The 19,974-nt window shown below is 39.7% G+C and overlaps 1 long non-coding RNA gene and 1 pseudogene across 1 annotated transcript; one reads left to right on the top strand and one right to left on the bottom strand.

The window, feature by feature from the left end:
• FABP5P10 (fatty acid binding protein 5 pseudogene 10) lies at positions 3,199–3,831 on the bottom strand (annotated as a pseudogene).
• LOC107985826 (uncharacterized) lies at positions 15,334–19,694 on the top strand. The gene is made up of 2 exons (XR_001739219.1): positions 15,334–15,847; positions 19,565–19,694. It is a non-coding gene; the product is annotated as an uncharacterized LOC107985826 (long non-coding RNA).
• The last annotated feature ends 280 nt before the right edge of the window (positions 19,695–19,974 follow it).

Below are 19,974 nucleotides of genomic sequence, written 5' to 3'. Positions count from 1 at the left end.
CATTGCTTATGCAAGGAAAAGGAGACATGAGTAATAAGGAGACACCATGTTTAAGTGGCTTAAATGTCTTCTTAACGTTGAGCTTTGTGTAGAATGTAACCTGAACAGAATGATGGTGTCTTCTGTCTTTTCCATGAAATTTCTGTTCACTTAAAATTTTTTTTTATGTACCAACAAAGACCAAACTGCAGCGTTTTCTTTACATTTTCTTATATTTGTTCTGTTCACCTAACCTTTCACGAACGCTTTTGAGTTCAATGGAGCATATAATTATTACATCATATAGAAATAGTTGGGGGAAACAAATGGCATAGTGCAAAAGATATAATTTATGGAGGGAAGTCATCCAGAAAAAACTGTAAGGAATGTTTAATTTATTTTAAACCTCTGAATACCATTGCCTTTTTCCCTTTCAGTTGTCCACATTACATTCTTTGTGTGACACAGGAAAAATTATTAAATACACATCTATATAAAAATCCAACAGTGGTTGCTATAAAAATTAAGATGTTGTAATTTTAATGACAATAGGAAACCAGCAGAAATTTAAGGCATTTACTTCCTTGATTAAAGTATATGACTATACCTAGAGTCAAGTTATTCTCATTTGTCAGCAGCTGAAATGACTTCCTGTGTTCCTCAATTTTAGAAAGATGCAAAGGTGAGATCCCAGCCTTAGAGAGAACTAGCAGGAAGTGGTTCGCGCGCCTGTGTGTGTGTGTGTGTGTGTGTGTGTGTGTGTGTATGGTGGTAGAATGGAAATACTACTGATATTTTGATGCTAATTTTATCCCCAAACCAGATCTATAGCATACATGGCTGTAGTGGTATAAAAATAATGCACTTACACAAGCATACTTACCATATGTGTATTTGTGTTTGTGTATATGTGCATAAACATGTATGCATACCTTGTAAATTTGTGAATAGTATACTTATTTTGGAATTAGGATTTTAAAAATAAGCAGATATAGAGTATAGTAATATGGGGAAGCATCATTTTGAAAGATTTACTTGAATATTTAGGTTTTTGGCTTCTATTAAATCTCCGTGCCTATCTATGGGTTTTCTCATCTTTTAGCTCAGCAGCTGTCAACACTGGATTCAACAGAATCACCTGGGTAACTTAAAAAAAAAAATTCTAGTGCCCAGACTCCATCCCCAGAGATTCTGATTTAATTGGTTTGGGAGTAGGATTGGGCATTGGTGATTTTTAAAAGCTCCCTTGGTGATTCTAGTGTGCAGGTAGGGTCGACAGCAACTGCTTTAGCCATGTGTTGACAAGCAATCCCTGGCAGTACCTAACGACAGTTATTTGGTGATCCTGAGTTTGCAGATATTTTTCCTGACTCGTTGTGGTTGTTGCTGGAACCCAGAGATGCTGAGGCCTTTGAAAGGGCACCATCTATAGCTTCAGGCAAAACACCCAGGAAGAACAAAGCAAGTGAAAGGATTGAGGAGGACCTAAAAGTTGGGCAATTTGCACAAGATTAAAAACCTTAGTGGAGTCAGGACTTGAACCCAGGTCTTCTATAGTGATGTGGTTGAGGGTCAGGGCTCTGGAGTCAGACTGTTGGCTTGGATGTGTTGGCTCCTACAGTAACTAGCTGGTTGAGGGATGATGGGCATGTTATTTTTTTGTCTGCCTGGTAAAGATTTGTTACCTCTCAGTTCCTGAGCCAGTGATGTTTGGGAAAGAAAAATATAGCATTAGTGTCAGTCTTATGTAGCAGGTTTTAGCTACTTAACCTCTCTTGGCCAATGTTTTCTCACGCCTGAAATCCCAGCACTCTGGGATGCCAAGGCAGGTGGATCACAAGGTCAGGAGTTCAAGACCAGCCTGGCCAAGATGGTGAAACCCCATCTCTATTAAAAATACAAAAATTAGCTGGGTGTGGTGGCAGGCGCCTGTAATCCCACTTACTCGGGAGGCTGAGGGAGGAGAATTGCTTGAACCGGGGAGGTGGTGAAAGTTGCAGTGAGCCGAGATCATGTCACTGCACTCCAGCCTGGGCGACAGAGCAAGACTCTGTCTCAAAAAAAAAAAAAAAAAAAAAAAGGAGCTAATTATTATGATGCCTACTTCATAGGTTGGGTGGATAAGAGGATTAAATGAGGTAACAAATGTGAAACCACTTGTGACTGTACCTCACACATAATATCTCCTCAATACATGTGAAATATTATTAATTTTTATTACCTGACTACATTTTATTCTCTATTATACTGTACTCAGATTCTTCAACTCAACGTGATCGAAATGATGGATGAGCCTTCCATCTTCTTTGATAACAGTTCCTTGTATGACTTCAGTTGTCTTTTCTTCTAAGCCAACTATAGATGTAAAGAATAAATCTCTATTGCTTATTTTTAATTATGTCCTAGAAATAAAAAAGGGGCTATATGTAAATAGCATTAAAGTAGATCCATATACAGATCTATTTTATATGGATACAGATCCATATAAAAATGGAATTTTGCTGTAATAATCATAGCTATTATATGGTATTTACTATGTTCCAGGTATAATTTTAAATGTTTTACATAAAATATTTAAAAAACTTTTTGTTATAAAAAATTCCAAAACTACACAGGGGTGCCTGTGTATGTATAGTACATGAACCTCTATATACGCACAATTCTTTTTTTTTTTTTTTTTTTTTTTGAGACAGGGTCTTGCTCTGTTACCCAGGCTGGAGTACAGTGTTGCCATCATGGCTCTGTACAGCCTCAACCTCCTAGGCCCAAGTGGTCCTCTCACCTCAGACACCCAAGTAGCTGGGACTTACCTGCAGGAGTCTACCACCATGCCCAGCTAATATTTGTAGTTTTTTTGACAATTCATTTTTAACTATTATCCACTCATGGACAATTTTGTCTATACCCTTGTACCCCAACTTTCTTGATATCATAGACACTTTTCTCTAAGTAGTTCAATGTGCTTCTCAAAAACATAAAGAACTTTAAAGAAAGATACTCACAATACCATTACTACACATAAATGTAGCCCTTATAAAAACTTTATGCATTAAGTAGTATTATTATCCCCATTTCATAGATGAAGAAACCAAGGCACAGACAAGTTAAGTAACTTGCCTAAGGTCACACAGCTAGCAAGTGCCAGAGCTGGAATTTGAAACCAGGTAATCTGGCTACATAGTCTGTTTTCTTTTCCTTTTTTTTTTTTTTTTTTTTTTTTTAGCACAAACGCATATATTTATTAACCAAACGGATGATACTAATTAATCCAACACTTTGAAATAGCTGCATGTAAAATGTTTGTGATAAAGATAATTGAAAACAGTAATAAAAAAAAGCAGTATGGAGATTTGCTTATTGAACTGGGGGCTTGTTCATTCTTGTAGTTAATTCCTGTCCAAAGTGATGACGGAATTTTTATTCTACTTTTTCATAGATCCGAGTACAGGTGACATTGTTCGTGACACAATCCACCACTGATTGCATCTTTCAATTTTCTTGTTATTGTGTTTTCCTTCCCATCCCACTCCTGATGCGGAACCAATGCACCATCTGTAAAGCTGCAGACAGTCTGAGTTTTTCTGCCAACAGCTGTGGTTTCTTCAAACTTCTCTCCCAGGGTACAAGAAAACTGTGTTGTTTTCAAAGTGCTCTCAGTTTTTATGGTGAGGTTTTTGCCATCACAAGTGATGATACAGTCTGGTTTGGCCATTGCGCCCATATTGCGCAAAGATATTCCCACTCCTAGTTTCTTCATGTATGCATCAAAGCCTTTGCTGTCCGCCAGGCGCCATCTTCCTTCCAGCTGCTGAACGGTGGCCCCATGGTGCGCGCAGGCTGGTGTGCGGAGCGTGCGGAACCAGCGGAGCGGGATCGGCGTGAGCAGCGTACTGGTTTGTGTTCTTAACCATTTTGAAATACCAGCTTCTCAAGTGAAAAAATAATGCAATACACAATTTCTTCTCAATGAATACAAGGTTTTTTGTTTGTTTGTTTTGAGACGGAGTCTTGCTCTGTCGCCCAGGCTGGAGTGCAGTGGCGTCATCTCAGCCCACTGCAACCTCCGCCTCCTGGGTTCGAGAGATTCTCCCACCTCAGCCTCCCCTGTAGCTTGGATTACAGGTGCGCGCCACCATGCCTGGCTAATTTTTTTGTATTTTTAGTAGAGACGGGGGTGGTCTCACCATGTTGGCCAGGCTACTCTTGGAACTCCTGGTCTCAAGTGATCCACCCACCTCAGCCTCCCAAAGTGCCGGGATTACAGGCGTGAGCCACCACGCCCAGCTGAATACAAGGTTTTATCTTTTAGTGTTTTTAATGTCCTAATTACATAGGTGTCCTACTGGTGACCAAAATTCAATTTTGCCTCCTACAGCTGCCATGGCCTTAGGTGTCAGATCCATCTGGCTCCTCTGTTTATTACATGTGACTTTATGCCCATTACTTACTCTCTCTAAACCACAGCTCTTCTGTCTGTTATATGATGATATAATAACACCTACCTCTTGCAGTATACTAGAGAGTTGGTATATTTCTAAATGTTTTAGTGTTTCAGAATTTAAATGCTAACTCATGGAAGTATTTTTTATTGAAACCTTTGAAAGGATATGATGTACTTGATTAGATCGAATCTCTTGACTTGACTGGTTAGGCAGCAGTCTCTTGAATGGTCAAGAACTGCCTTGATAAAGACTCAGTGCAGCTGTTGTAGAAATGCCTCTTAATTTACAGCTGGAAGGCTGTCAGCTTGTTAAACCAAAATAAATGTTATAATATGTCAGCTTATATGAACCAGGGAGCATCATTTTTCAAGAAATGATGCCTGTCTCTTTGAGCTACTTTAAAGTCATTTGTCAACATCCATCCTAAAAATACAGTGAAAATTCTTAAACCCATATGCACATCTTTTGTTGCCTGGCTTCTTCCACACCAGCCTTCAGCTGGGATCTACACTGTGAACAATAAGCTGGAGTGTGAAGAGTGTTAAGACCAGGGAGTGTAAAAGTGTGTGTGTGTATGTGTGTGTAGGGTCCATATGTGTGACTACCCTCTAAAATGAAATAACTTATTTCTTAATCACCTTCTATTTTGCGGTATATGTGCCATTCTTATGTACCAAAAATTTGAATAAGCAAGGTTTTATCATGCACGAAATATTTTATGGTATTTTTCCTTTGCTCTGTAATATCTGATATTCAGAAACTACCTTATTCTGGATTCTCTTTATTTTTTTTCTTTGTTCATATTAGTTCTTCCCAGGGTTTATATTGAGCAATTCATCCTTGTCAAGGAAAAAATCATGCTTTGCCAATATTATGCTTAATTGTGTGTCCTGTTAGTCTAACCCATATGATTTATAGACCTTACACATTTTGACAACAACAGCATTCCTTTTAGTATTCTCACTAGGTAAGAATATCACCTTGTAACCTTGTTCTCTCCCCTTTCTCGTCTTTGTTAGGTAAAAATGAAAGGGTTATTTTGATTTACAAGCAGCAACTGAGCTTGGCTCTCCCCTTCAAGATATCCTTGCACAATGAAAAAAACAAATGTTATTTTGCTCTATAAACATTATATTTGAAATTTTTCTTCACATGTCTTTTAAATCATCTGTTTGGCCTAAGGCTTCTTGCTACCCCTGGCTTTGGAATCCCTCCAAACCTGGCCTCACTTTATATGGGTTGTGGAGGATGCCGATTATTTGAAATTCTCTGTTGAAATCAGATTTCTTGCCTCCAGCCATATGTATATAGGGGAAATTAGGCTGCCTGCTTTTCCTAAAGTTGTGTCAAGGTAATAGCTTATGCTGTCTCATCAAACACTGGGCAGGGCTTAGATGACATGTCAACCATTTTGAATTTTGCATTAACAATCTCTGAATGAAATAAAAACTCTAAATTATATTCAGTTTAGGGAATTGGATCCTAGGTGTAAAGTTAGAAAATTGGAGATGGTTTGTTATTTGGATGAGTTTGGTTTTGCAGTTAGCTGATGCTTCGTTTTGTCTATCAATCTGTCTATGGCTTTTTCCAATCACCTTTTTGAAGTGTACTTTTTAGGCAATAATAGGTATATTTTAAAGTATAGAGTTCATTGAGTTTTGTATGTATTTAGGTAACCACAGCCCTAAGCAAGATATAGGACATTTCCATCCCCTCCAACTGTTCCTCATGCCACTCTCAAAGTGACAAGGAAGAACGCCCATCAGAGACTGTCATTCTTAGGAGAAAACATATCCTTTAAACCCAGTTGTAACAGTGTGGCTTCCCTTTAACAAAAGCAACGTTCACTGTAATGACTTTATTATAAGTAGACACACGCAGGCAGTCAATGAGCTCTTGCAATGACTGGCAGCTCAAAGAGGAGGAGGGGAAGAGCCAGTGGAGGTGGGTGGATGGATGGTGGGCAGCAGTTTATTATAACCACAATCAGCTCAGGATGCTGGTATTGGCCTCAGAGGGACCTGGTTTCCTGTGGTGTTAGCAAAAGGGATAAATTATAGTCGACATCTGCAATGAAGGACGGCAAGATGACCTGGAGGGGAAAATGTCAGATGTGGTAGAGGTCAGAGAGCCTGGTTATTCAACAAATGCAGGTTTGAAGCAGAGATCAAAGGCAGCTGCCAGAGAGTAAAATGGTGTTAGAGGTATGTGCTCAGTAATAAGTATATGGGTGTACCTAATACTGGTCACGGTATTGAGCCGTCAATAAATCAAACAATTCTGCCTGGGCAAGGCAGAGATAGGACTTCATGGTGGTGGATGTAGTGGATGACAGGATGAAACAAAGGCAAGGAAGCTGCTGATTGCAATTAAACAGGGTTTATTTTTGATGAGGTAGGTCTGAATTCTTTTCCCACCACATCTCTGTGGGCGTTTAATATTGTTCAGACAGCTCAATTAGAGGATTTTGATGCCTTTAGTGGCTCAATCAATCAGCTGTACTAAGGTTTGGATTGTTTGCATGCTGTAATGTGCTGATGAAGATGGCAGTTAGCTCTTTCATTATAAGAATGGTAGGACTGCAGCAGGGGAAACACTCAAGCTATTTCTGATTTAAATTGTCTGCACATGATCAGATCTGAAAAGAATAGTTTGGAAGACAAATAAGAAAAACGTCTCAGTTTTGCCCATGTGCCAGGCTCTATTTTTTAATTATTCCATTTATGCCACGTTATCTAAATTGAAGTACTCACAACTTGGTCCATAAGACATCTAACAAGTAAGGACTTCTCTGGAGAGTGGATTCAGGATAGTTAAAATAGATTCTTCCAGTGGATACTGTGGTCAAATTTCATACAGTTCAGATTAATTTTCCAAAGCAAAAGGATTTTGGTGATGCTAGGAGATACGGCAAAGCCTCCAGCAGTAGTGGTACATTGGTGTTTTCTGCCATCCTGACAAGGAAAAATGCCAGCAATTTAGTTAATCCTACAGGCTCTCCATGGAATGTCTGAATTTCCCTTTGAGAGAGTCACCGTGTCTCACCAGAATTCAATCCATTAAGTTTTATTTGTGGAGTTTCTCCTAACCTCCTCATAAATAGAGTGAGATGCACCTTTTACAGTGCCCTAAAATATCTTATCCGTTCCATGCCATATGGCTGCTTCTTCTTATTTAAATAAAATAAATAATCCTTAAATATGCATATATTCTTTGCATAGACATGTGCTTGAATTACCAACTGTTTGTTACGGTTTTTGTTAATTCGCAGCAAATCAGTGTGTTCCGTGGTTATATTTCTCCTATGACAGAAGCCTGTTATTTCACTTTTAGTACATGCTAATTCTCCTAAGATGAGCATCCTCAACTCATTTCCTTGGAGACAGTAAGAAAATCCCAAATGTATCAGGATCAAGAAGATAGTACTACTCAGGAAATTTTAGTTATGATTTTTTCCAAGTATATTCTGATTGAGTAAAAAAGCACATACAACCTCCCTCTCTAATTCTCCAAATCACTTTTTAAATACAGTCCTCTCTCTTTTCCCTAACCTTCGGAGGAACTAGTTTTCTTCTCTCTCAATTATGTTTTCATTCTTTAAATGTGGTTGGATAACAATGACTTTAACTTTCCATCTTACAGCTATTAAAGACCTTGACCTGTTGGTCCTAATAAAAGAGTTATGAACCATGCCCTGCTAAATGACTTCACTCCCCGTCTCTCCCTTCACCCAGATAAATTCCCTTGGTGGGTGATAAAACACTGGATTGAAACGGACACATTTGGTCTCTGTTAAAGCTATTTATGGTGATTTCTCTGCTGCGAGCATTATACTTAGGGAAACCAGATGCTCTTCTTTTGGGGTCCATCTTGTAACATGTTCTCTCAGTATTCCGAGAACTCCTTTGGGGCCAGGAAATGATCTCCTCTCCGCAAGAGCAGTTATGTAACAGCTTCATCCAGGAGAAGCAGTGCGTATAGAGAAGAAAAATAGCACAAAATGGAAAAGCACATTCAGTTTTTTAAAGAAAGCATTTAAAAAATCCCATTTAATTTCTCTTTGTCCACATACTTAGCTCCTTGTAGTGAGGTACTTTAGAAATGGGCTGGCAGTTATCCAGAGGGCATGAATGATTTTTCACTGTTTGCTCTTTTGTTTCTGAAAGATTACAAACTGGGCGAGCCATCTAAAGGCTCAGGTAAACAGACATAGATGTCAGAGTTTATTCTGAGACTGAATTCTCAGCTTTTCTGATAAATACATTGTTGCACTTTTCTCCATTCATCCTCTTGATGATTATTACACCAGTTAAAGACATTTAAAATGAATTCTCCACCCCTAGTCTTCTCTGAGAGCATTAGGCTTTTATGCTGCTATGGCTACATAAATATTAATATATGTTTGAAGAAGACATTTTTAAAGATCAGAGTGTTGTTTTTAAATAGACTTAATTTTTTAGTGTAGTTTTAGGTTCACAGCAAAATTTAGCAGAAGGAACAGAGATATTCTATATATCCCCTGCCCCCACAACACACGTAGCCTTCTCCATCATCATCACCGGCCACTGAAGTGGTACATTTGTCACAACTGATGAGCCTGCATTGATGTGTAATTATCACCCAGAGTCGCCAGTTACATTAGGGCTCACTCTTGGTGTTGTACCTTGTATGGGTTTGGAGAAATGTCAATAAAATGTATTCTCCATTGTCATTAGGTGAGTGGTTTTTTTTTTTTTGTTTGAGATGGAGTCTCACTCTGTTGCCCGGGCTGCAGTGCAGTGGCACACTCTTGGCTTACTGCAGCCTTCGCCTCCTGGGTTCAAGCGACTCTCCTGCCTCAGCCTCCCAAGTAGCTGGGATTATAGGCGCCTGCCACTATGCCCAGTTAATTTTTTTTTGTATTTTTAGTAGAGACTGGGTTTCACCATGTTGGCTAGGCTGGTCTTGAACTCCTGACCTCGTGATTCGCCTGCCTCGGCCTCCCAAAGTGCTGGGATTACAGGCCTGAGCCACTGCGCCCAGCCAGGTGAGTGTATTTTATTTACATACTTGGAAAATCTGAATGATCTACTGTAGATTACAGTTTTTCAGTTGGGTGTTTGGTATGTGTCACCTCCTGAAAGTTTTAGCAAGTTTTAGTTGTCACCCCTAACACTCCCAGAGGTCTACTTTTTTTTAGACCAACATTGAGTATAATAACTTTATTATATTTTAAAATAATATTTTAATAACATTTCATTATTATAGTGATAAATTATTATAATTTTAATATTAATATTTTAAATAATTTTTTTAAAACTGCAGTTATCTTTACCTATTAAAGGGTAGACGAGTACTTCCATATAAAGCTCGCAGAAAGTGGAGAAGATCTTTATTACTCTGCTGGCGAGTTGTCTGGGAGCCCAGGAAGGGCAGGAGGAGTGTGGCTAAGCAGAACCTTCCTCTCCTCAGCCTTGCCCACATCATTTCTGCAGTTCCACAAGCAGATTGCACAGTTGCCAGCTCTAGAAAACAATATCCCCAAACAAATGATCAGATTTCATTGAGACAAGGTACTTTTCTTCTACTGCTTCCAGAAAATAACTTTCTTTTGGGAGTGATAGGCAAAGGAGTACTGAGAATTGTATGATAACTTTCTTCTCCTAAGCTGTGAGAAGTCTAGGCTGTGCAGGCAGGTTTAAAAGAGAACATCTGTTTCTGTTTCTTCAGGAGAGAAATCAGTGTGAAGATTGGATGCTGTTCTATCCTAAAGCCATTTAGGTCTCTAGCACAATGCCTGGCACAAAGCAGGCATTCGAATATTTGCTGAATTAAAATTTCTCTACTAAAATAATCCATGAACCAGAAAAGTAAAAATAGCATTGTAAATATTAAGTTCCAATAGTGGCTGTTGTAGGAAGAAGACAAAATGATTAATTTCAATGTGTGTTCATAGATTCAGAATGTTTATATACAGCTTGCAAAGACTTTCTACCTCTTTAATGCTGTGATTGGGTAAAATGTCAGACACCATGTTAAGTGCTAGAAATACAAAGATGATTTAGATACAATTTGTATTTTCTAGGAGCTCACTGGTAGGGAGGATAAATTACTAGAATATAGGATCCATGAGAGCAGAACTTTATTTTGCTCATCATTGTAGCCTCAATGTCTAGAATAGTTCCTAACACATAATAGTTGCTTAATTAATAACTTTCGAATATAAAAGAATGGCTGGATTATTCTATTACATTGAAGGAAAATTCTGAATGAGCACGTACTTGCATGACAAATAGCCACTGGTAGGAAATTGGGCATGCTCCTTATCCAATCTCTACTATGATCTATAGAAGATCATAAAACTTGCCACTATTTTAAAAATTCTAGATTATAACATGGCATATTTGGATTGATCTGGACATGAAACTTCACATCACTTAGTGCTGTCTCAGGACTATCTTCCTGCATATGACAAAACATAAATTGATGATTTCTTTAAGAGTGCTAAATCTCTGAGAATTCTTTTTTTTTTTTTTTTTTTGAGACAGAGTTTCACTCTTGTCGCCCAGGCTGGAGTGCAGTGGCATGATCTCGGTTCACTGCAACCTCTGCCTCCTGGGTTCAAGTGATTCTCCTGCCTCAGCCTCCTGGAGTAGCTGGGATTACAGGCACCCGCCACCATGCCCAGCTAATTTCTTTATTTTTAGTAAGACAGGGGTTTCACCATGTTGGCCAGGCTGGTCTCGAACTCCTGACCTCAGGTGATCCACCCACCTCTCCATCCCAAAGTGCTGGGATTACAAGCATGAGCCACTGTGCCCGGCTGTGTCTCTGAGAATTCTGCAAGCAATGGATTCCCAATTCTCTATGAACGGGAGGAAGAGCCCACCTCACAGAAGCTGGTGTACATAGCAAAAATGGTCTAGAAAGGTAGATCAACAGCACCCAGACACACGACAGGTAATTAAGTCTGTCCCATAACTACATCATCCAGAACAGGTGGATTTCTCTTCCAGAAGAGTGACTGCAAAAAAAGAAAAGTGGCTGGTTTCCTATCTGATGCAACTGGACCCAGCTAATCTACTGACAGCTAAAAGTGGAGAGTCACAAAAAAGGATGCATAATAATTTACGCATTACATTTACGTGTACTTTAAAGCATGCATATGCATATTCACTCTTCAATACGATGTGGTAGGTTCAGGGCGTTCTCTAAGTATTGTTGTGCTGATTGGAATACCTTTATTTCTTTGTTGCATAAACTATGTACATAACGCATCTTCCATAATTGCCAGTGTCAGTGTCTTTAAATGGAGAACTTTAAGAATCAGAACAAGAATGTGAATTGAGAATTGAAAGTCCATTGAAAAGCATTCTGAGGACAGAATCTTTCTTTACTTTTATGACTTTACAGTTGGACGGTTGTAAACTTCCTAATTCCTCATAAGTTTTACTTACTTACCTCTATTGAATCTTTTCAAAACAATAAATTAAAAAAATATTAGTATTTCATTGGCTTTCCCCATATTTTATTCAATTATGAATTTGCAATAACAAGTACAATGGTCCTAACTAGGTTTCAGAACAAACACAACTGATTCTTAATAAGAATATAACGCCATGGGTGGGAGCAGACACGCAGATGCACACTACACAGAAGCAGCCAATTAGCTACGCGTGAGAAAAGGTTTTGGAGTTGTAGCACCAGCTTTGCCTTGGGTGGCCTGCAAAACTGTGGTATTATAGATGATCTACACTGTGTGACAATGAGAAACAACATGTAAGGTTTTCCTTGAGCAATGATGTGTAGCTCCTACTTTTAGTATAATATTAAAGTTGTTACAAGTGAATGTAAAGTACAGCACTTACTTAAGTTGGCTTGACAACTCAAGAGGGATTTGTTTCTTTTTGCTGAGAAAAACAGAATAGCTCTCACTTGTAATCCTAGTACTTTGGGAGGCCGAGGCAGGGGAGATCACTTGAAGCCAGGAGTTCGAGATCAACCTGAGCAACATAGTAAGACCCCTTCTCTACAAAAAAAAAAAAAAAATTAGCCGGTGTGGTGTCACACACCTACAGTCTCAGCTACTTGGGAGGCTGAGGTGGGAGGATCACTTGAGTCCAGGACTTTGACGCTACAGCGAGCTATGATTACACCACTGCATTCCAGCCTGAGCAACAGAGTGAGACCCTGTCTCTAAAAAAATGTATATGACTTGAGTCAGAAAACCTGCGTCCAAGTCTCCACTCTTCTACTCACTAGCTGGGTGAGCTTGGGCTTCACTGGAACCATCTCAATGTGCCCATCTGGGTGTCTGAAAGTTGTATCCAGAATAAAGCTTTACACTCACCTTTACACGGGGGGTCCAAAGCCATCACTATTATGAGAGGAGAATTTGGGGAAAAGCATCAGTTCTGCAGGAAATTTACTGGGTTAGTCAGGGCTCTAAGTTAGAAACAATAGACTTCGACTCTGGGTAACTAAACAGAAAAAGAGTTTGTCAAAGGATATAGAGTAACTTACAGAATTTTCGGGAGGGCTGCAGTGCCAAGCCAGAGGTAATCAACATCTCAAACCCTGAGTCAGAACTGGTTTTTAGCTGCCACCAAGACATAGATGCAAACATTTGTACCACTCTGCACCAGAGAATCATTTAGCCCAGCCAAAGCTGACAAACACTCCCCACCCGCGCCACCCCCAATTCTTGTGTCAAGTACTCAACCTTGTAGCCACTGCCCTCTGCTGCCACTTCATGATAGAGAGGGAGAGAGAGAGAGAGAGAGAGAGACAGAGAAACACTCCCCATTTTTTCCTAAGTCCAGTGTGGATGGGTCTTTTTTTGTTGAAACCTTGGTTACAAATTTGATTCTGGCTATAAATAATGCTAGGAGAGCAAGTACCTATCATTTATTTTCAGCTTTGATAGCAAGTTCTTTAGATAAGAATGCACCAAACATAGAAGCAGCCAAAATGAATGTCAAATATTCACCTAGGCAGAAAGCAGCCGTGCTGAGACCACCATGTGTAGGAAGGCTGAGAGATTTGTGCCTAAGTGAATAGAAAGTGTTCAGAAAGGAGAATCAAGAAAACCTCTTTCCTCGCTTTGGAAGGAGGAAACCTACAGAATCGCCCAAAGCTGGAGGGAATTCAATCATGGTGATAGTTGGGAGTAGCAGCTTTACATCTGTTCTCAAGGTAAGGAGAACAATTGAGATGGCCAGGCATTAATGAGCACCCTTTGAGGGTGATGAATGAGCACCTCTATCTGCCTACTGGAATGGAAATCCGAATAGGATGTATCCCTAATGGGATAATGGAACAGTGCTACTGTGCTTTAATTTCCCAATTTTAGTAGGATTTAGGCAGCTGTGATTAACCTGATAAATGAAGAAGAGGATAGTGCGAAGGGATCCAAACAGCTGAGCCAACCTGGCACTCCTTCCTCCCGCATCCTTGAGGGCCTCATCAGACAAGACTCTTGGTATAGATTCTCTGTCAGGCTTCCAAGGCTAGGTCCCCACGGTGCTGAATGCTGAAGTCAGGGCCAAGATTCTCTTGGCTGTAGTTCTCTTGTGTGCCCGTGGAGGCTGTCTCTAATCCTATTTTGGAATGGGATGCAGTCGGGAAGATCTCATTCAGAGATGATCAGCCAGCAGTTATCACACCCAAGGTGGCCTTTGGATTATGAGGCATTTATATATTTAGCAAATATTTATTGAACACCCACAGGGCTTGAGATGCAGGACTAGGTATCGGGATTAGAGAGAGAGGCACACACAGCCTTGGACTCAGGAAGATTAAAGGAAGAGACTAACACATTGCCTGGAATGCTGAACTGCAAGGAACTCCTTTATATGTTAGTGTAAAAAGGAAATGTTTCTGTTTGCATCTTGGGCTGCCCTGGACTGTGAAAATCCCCCTCCTCAGGGAGCTGGTTGTGTCTGTGAGTGAGCTGGTGAGCACCGAGCCTGGTTAGCATCATTGGTTACGAGGGTAGATGAGGCTCGTAAGCCTTAGCGCAACCTTTTGGGACCAGCTGCAGCCAAATCCCAAATCTCAGGGTGCGAGTGCCAGATCTACTTGGGACAGCCTGGTTGGGAGTCTTTTAGTTGCCAATTTAAGGTTAAAATAATACTCTTTATGTTTCAGCTTCTGCCAGGCTGAGTCCTTTGTGGCTTATTTTGCATTGTTTAAGCACATGGAGAAATGAGCTCAGGTGGTCAAAACAATTCTAATGAAGTTGAGTTTCTACTTCAATTGTTTTGTATCTGAGACTCTCCCCTAAAGAGAGGAACTGGTTTTCCTGGGTCCTGCCAGCTCTTTTATTGTAAAAGTGAGAAAGCCCATCCTGTGGCTTTCTACTCTGAAAAATAAAAGATTTGATGCCCATTGAGATTGATCTTAGGCACAGGCCGTGGGATGTGGAACACAGCCTTCCTTTTACAGTGGAAATTTCTGAGCAAGAATTTTGGGGACTTTGATGAAGAAGGTCCAGGCACTTCGTGGGGCAGAGTGTGAACATGTAGTGCTATAGGTGATGAAACTCAGTTTCTTGGTGTTTATAAGCACCAGCTAATCCTCCTCTAGTGCTTATCTCTCAAGCACAGTTCTAAGTTTGTACATATATTTGAAATCTATGACAAATTCTGTAAGTTTGACACTGTTATCATCATGCTCATATTCAGGTGGAAAGACTAAGGTGCAGAAGCTAAGCACCTGCCTGAGTTTCCTACAGGTAAGTGGAAAAGAGGGGGCCAACCCCAGAGCTTGAACCTTTCGCTGCTATGCCACACTGGGTTTGAAGGGTAGTTTTCTTGAGAATAGAGGGGACACAGTGATTGGACAGTGATGCTCTGCTGCCATAGGCCAGGAATTCTGTTTCATTATGACCCAGGCACATCACCTTGTGGTTTCTTTATACAGAGATCAGCTTCCCTGATGTAGTTGGAGAAGAAATGGACATAAGAGGAACAAGCTCCAGTGTGTCATCCCGCTTCTTACTCTGATCATTCTCACGTTCATCTCTAAGTTTCTTGAGGTTAGGGGTGATGTCTTATTCAGTGTCATAACCTTTTATTAGCCAGTGCAATACCTTAGCGTGCAATGTGTTAAGGGAATGACTGAAACACTCTTTCTGGAGTTCTGGCTACCTGTGGGTGGGCCTGCAGGCTGCTTTAGGAATATTTGATGAAGATACTTTTATTCACAGATGTGTTCACAAATGTCCAGCACTTTGGGCATCACTGGTGCCATGCATATTTCATGCTAATGATTTGGTGAGATTTGCAGCTCTTGCAAAAGAAGAAAAGAGTGCTTGCCTGCTTTCTTTAGGATGCAGTCTGGTGATCTTGTGTCTAGGTTGAAGACTCCCAGAACTGTCTTGATTGCAGTGAGAGCTGAGGCCTGACGGGGTGAAATATCCAACTGTAGCAGTGGAGCATACATTGGTAAATGAAATCTGTCCTGTCTCTTTCCTAATTGAATGCCAGTTTTAGCGGGAGAGGGGCAGTCACATATCCACCTAAAAATGATCATCCTTCTGAACAACTAGCAGTGGTCATTTATCATGGTGCCAGCCAAAGAGATTTGAATTGAGGGTTTCATGGCAAGCTTTTGAGTTTCAGATGTAAGTACTCTTCTTCCTTATTTTATTACTCTTTCCTTCTGAAATAATGATTGGGGTCTGGGGATGCTGCAACCATTTTGTTACAATGAGGCAACAATCAAATAACCAAATCCAACATTCACCCGAAGGCAGAGCAGAATGCAAGAGTCTGGGTCCTTGACCGCATATTTGAAAAGCTGCAGTAGCTCTGGAGGGTTTCAATTCAGATTTCTTTTTACGTGGAAAAATAAACATTTAGGTCAGAGCTTCTGTAAATCAAGTTTTTTGTTAGTTATAGATGAATACAATCTTACTGATCTAGATGGCATCTTTAGTCCTTGAAATTAGTAAAATGTTGAAGACTGAAGTGGAAGCTAGCAATAATCATTATACAATGTGCGGAAATAACCAGCCAAAGTAGCACGTTTAAGAGACCTATTGCAAACATGTATTTATAATGAGAGAATAGCATGTTTCCAAATAACTGCACCAGGAAGGCTTTAATCTAAAGCACAAGTAGTATACACTAAGTTTTTGAGAATTATGACATGAAGTAAAGATATCCCATAGTTGACTGATGAAGAATGTTTAATCTGGAGAGTAAAACATTTGTGAATCCACCATTGTTCAGGGGAGGATGGACATTAATTTTAAACACCAATATGAGTTATGCAGACAAAAATACACATAAATGGATAAAAATACAGTTTATCTAGTTCCTTCCAGTTGTGGGCTTGGGATCAGCAGCATAGCCTCACTTGGGAATTTGTAGAAACGCAAATTCTTGGGTCTTATTACAGACCTACTGACTTGGAAATGCTAGGAGTTGTATTTTAACAAGCCCTCTAGGTGATTTTGATGTTGAGTTAAAGATTGAGAATCATTGCTTCAGATTCATTTTCATACTTTAGATTAATTTCCATATGTTAGGCTAACCAAGACTGTTGTCCCCCACCCACCAAATTCTAGGGTGGTCCACATCTTTCTGATTTGTAACTTGGCCTCCTGCTGATCACCTCCAGAGGGAATATCCTGTGATGGTAAATTAAGAAGTTGGCACTCTGCCTTTCGAATCAACGTCGTGTAAGATGTAGTCCCTTCCTCCCAAAGGCCCTAGGTGAACCACTAATATCATGTTCCTAAATTTGAGTTAATCCTTTTACCAAGGGGAGCCTCATTCTGAGGCATTGGACCTCTCTTTGTTCATCTTTCCTATAATAAGAGCACTCCAAATCATAATAAAGTTTAGTTTTTTTTTTAATTTAAAAAGACTTTGCAAAGCTATAAAAAATCAGATTTGCCACCAATAATCCAGAATGTAAACAGTCCAGCATCAGCTAATTAGCTATTTTTTTTTCTTTGACACAGAGTCTTGCTCTCTTGCCCAGGCTGGAGTGCAGTGGCACGATTTCAGCTCACTGCAGCCTCTGCCTCCCAGGTTCAAGTGATTCTCCTTCCTCAGCCTCCTGAGTAGCTGGGATTATAGGTGCGCGCTTCCACGCCTAATTTTTGTATTTTTAGTAGAGATGGGGTTTCACCATGTTGGCCAGGCTGGTCTTGAACTCCTGACCTCAACTGATCCCCCCACCTCAGCCCCCTAAAGTGCTGGGATCACAGGCATAGCCACCACACCCGATAATTAGCTATTGACTATACATAGATAAGAAGGAGAATATGGCAAATATATTTTTCTGGCTAGCTAAGATGATTTGCTGGCTTAAACACTTTAGAAAAGTTTAGCTGTACAACTAAACTCAACGTACATTAATAAAAAGGTTAATAATATATGGGGGGCTTTGTTTGTTTACCTATTTACACTAAAAGCTATCAAAATTAATGACTTATTTTTTTCCTCATAAAATATCTTGAAAACGAAATATATTTACCTTTAAGTCTGATTTGACTTATTCTGGCAGGGAATGTCCTAAATCTTCCCTGCTTTGTGACTACATTGTAATTCTTTGTCCCAGAAGATGAAAGCAGATGCATTCAAGAAAAGAATTTGAGGGCTGGGCACGGTGGTTCATGCCTGTAATCCCAGCACTTTGGGAGATCGAGGTGGGTGGATCACCTGAAGTCAGGAGTTTGAGACCAGCCTGGCCAACATGGCAAAACCCCGTCTCTACTAATAATATAAAAATTAGCCAAGCATGGTGGCACGCTCCTGTAATCCTAGCTACTCGAGAAGCTGAGGCAGGAGAATCGCTTGAACCCGGGAGGCAGAAGTTGCTGTGAGCCAAGATTGCACCACTGCACTGCAGCCTGGGCGACAGAGCAAGGCTCCATCTCAAAAGAAAAAAAAAAAGAGAATTTGAGGATGGTACAGCTTCCATTAGAAAAGAACTAATGCTTGAGTGGGAAACACGTTCAGTAGAGGTTGGGCCACCTTTTGTTTAAGACATTTGACTTTCATAAGTAAAATTAATTTCTGATTTTATCATTTTTTTCTGGTGTATGTTTTTACCAGAAAACAGATGCATATATGTTAGTGTGGTGAGATGTGTGGAAATAATAGGACTCAGCTAAAAATAGAGTGTAGTGAATGCTAATTAAATATATAATGAACCCTTATTGTAACATAATCTGCTATAACAATGTATTTAAAAGAGCACAAGTCCATCTGGATCTGTTTAACAGTGGTGTAGCTATGGATACATTAGTAAACTCTTTTTAAAAAAGTCACAACACAGAGATAAAGAATAAAACAGTGATTACCAGGAGCGGGAGAGAGAGAGATACAGGTCAGAGGATGCGAAGGATGAACAAGTCTAGAGATCTAATATACAACATGAGGACTGTACTGAATAATACCATACTGTACTCGGGATGTTTGTCAAAAGAATAGATTTTAGGTGCTCTTGCCACAAAGAAAAAATTGGTAACTATGTGCGATAATGGACATGTTAATTTGCTTGGCTATAGTAACTTTTCACTGTCCATATGTACAGTTATGTGCTGCGTAACGATGTTTCAGGTAACGATGGACTACATATACAAAGTTGGTCTCAGAAGTTTATAGGCCGGGTGCGGTGGCTCATGCCTGTAATTCCAGCACTTTGGGAAGCCAAGGTGGGCAGATCATGAGGCCAAGAGATTGAGACCAGCCTGGCCAGCATGGTGAAACCCTGTCTCTACTAAAAATACAAAAATTAGCTGGGCTTGGCGGCACGCACCTGTAGTCCTAGCTACTTGGGAGGCTGAGGCAGGAGAATCGTTTGAACCTGGGAGGCGGAGGTTGCAGTGAGCCCAGATCGCACCACTGCACTCCAGCCTGGCAACAGAGCGAAACTCGGTCTCAAAAAAAAAAAAAAAAGATTATAATAGAGCAGAAAAATTCCTATTACCTAGTGAAGTCTTGGCCATGGTAATGTTGTAGTGCAACAATTGGTCACATGCTCGTGCCATAAACAAGCTGGTGTAAACAAACCTACTGTGCTGCTAGTTGTATAAACATAGAGCACATATAATCATGTACATACAGAATACTTGATAATGACAATAAATGACTATGTCACTGATGTATGTATTAACTACACTATACTTTTTATGTTAATTTTAGAGTGTCCTAGTTATAAAAAAAAATTAACTGTAAACAGCCTCAGTTCCATGCGTGTTATTGACCCGAAGACCTTCCAGTGGGACAAGATGTGTCAGTGGAAGACAGTGATATTGATGATCCTGACCCTGGGTAGGCTTAGGCTAACATGTGTGCTTATGTCTTTGTTTTTAATAAGAAAGTTTAAAAAGTAAAAAAAGAATTGAAAATGTTAAAAATAGAAAAAAGCTCATAGGATGAGGATATAAAAAAGAAAATATTTTTGTACAGTTGTATAAAGTGTGTTTTGAGCTGTGTTATTACAAAAGAGTAAAAAATTTCAAAAAACTTTAAAAATTTATAAAGTAAAAAAGTTACAGTAAGCTAACATTAATTTATTATTGAAGAAAAAATTAAAAAAAATAAATTTAGTG

Source organism: Homo sapiens, chromosome 2 (assembly GCF_000001405.40).
Source record: "Homo sapiens chromosome 2, GRCh38.p14 Primary Assembly".
In the NCBI taxonomy this organism is placed as follows: Eukaryota; Metazoa; Chordata; class Mammalia; order Primates; family Hominidae; genus Homo; species Homo sapiens.
The sequence above is the reverse complement of the archived record's forward strand: the minus strand, read 5'-3'. Positions and strand labels throughout refer to the sequence as shown.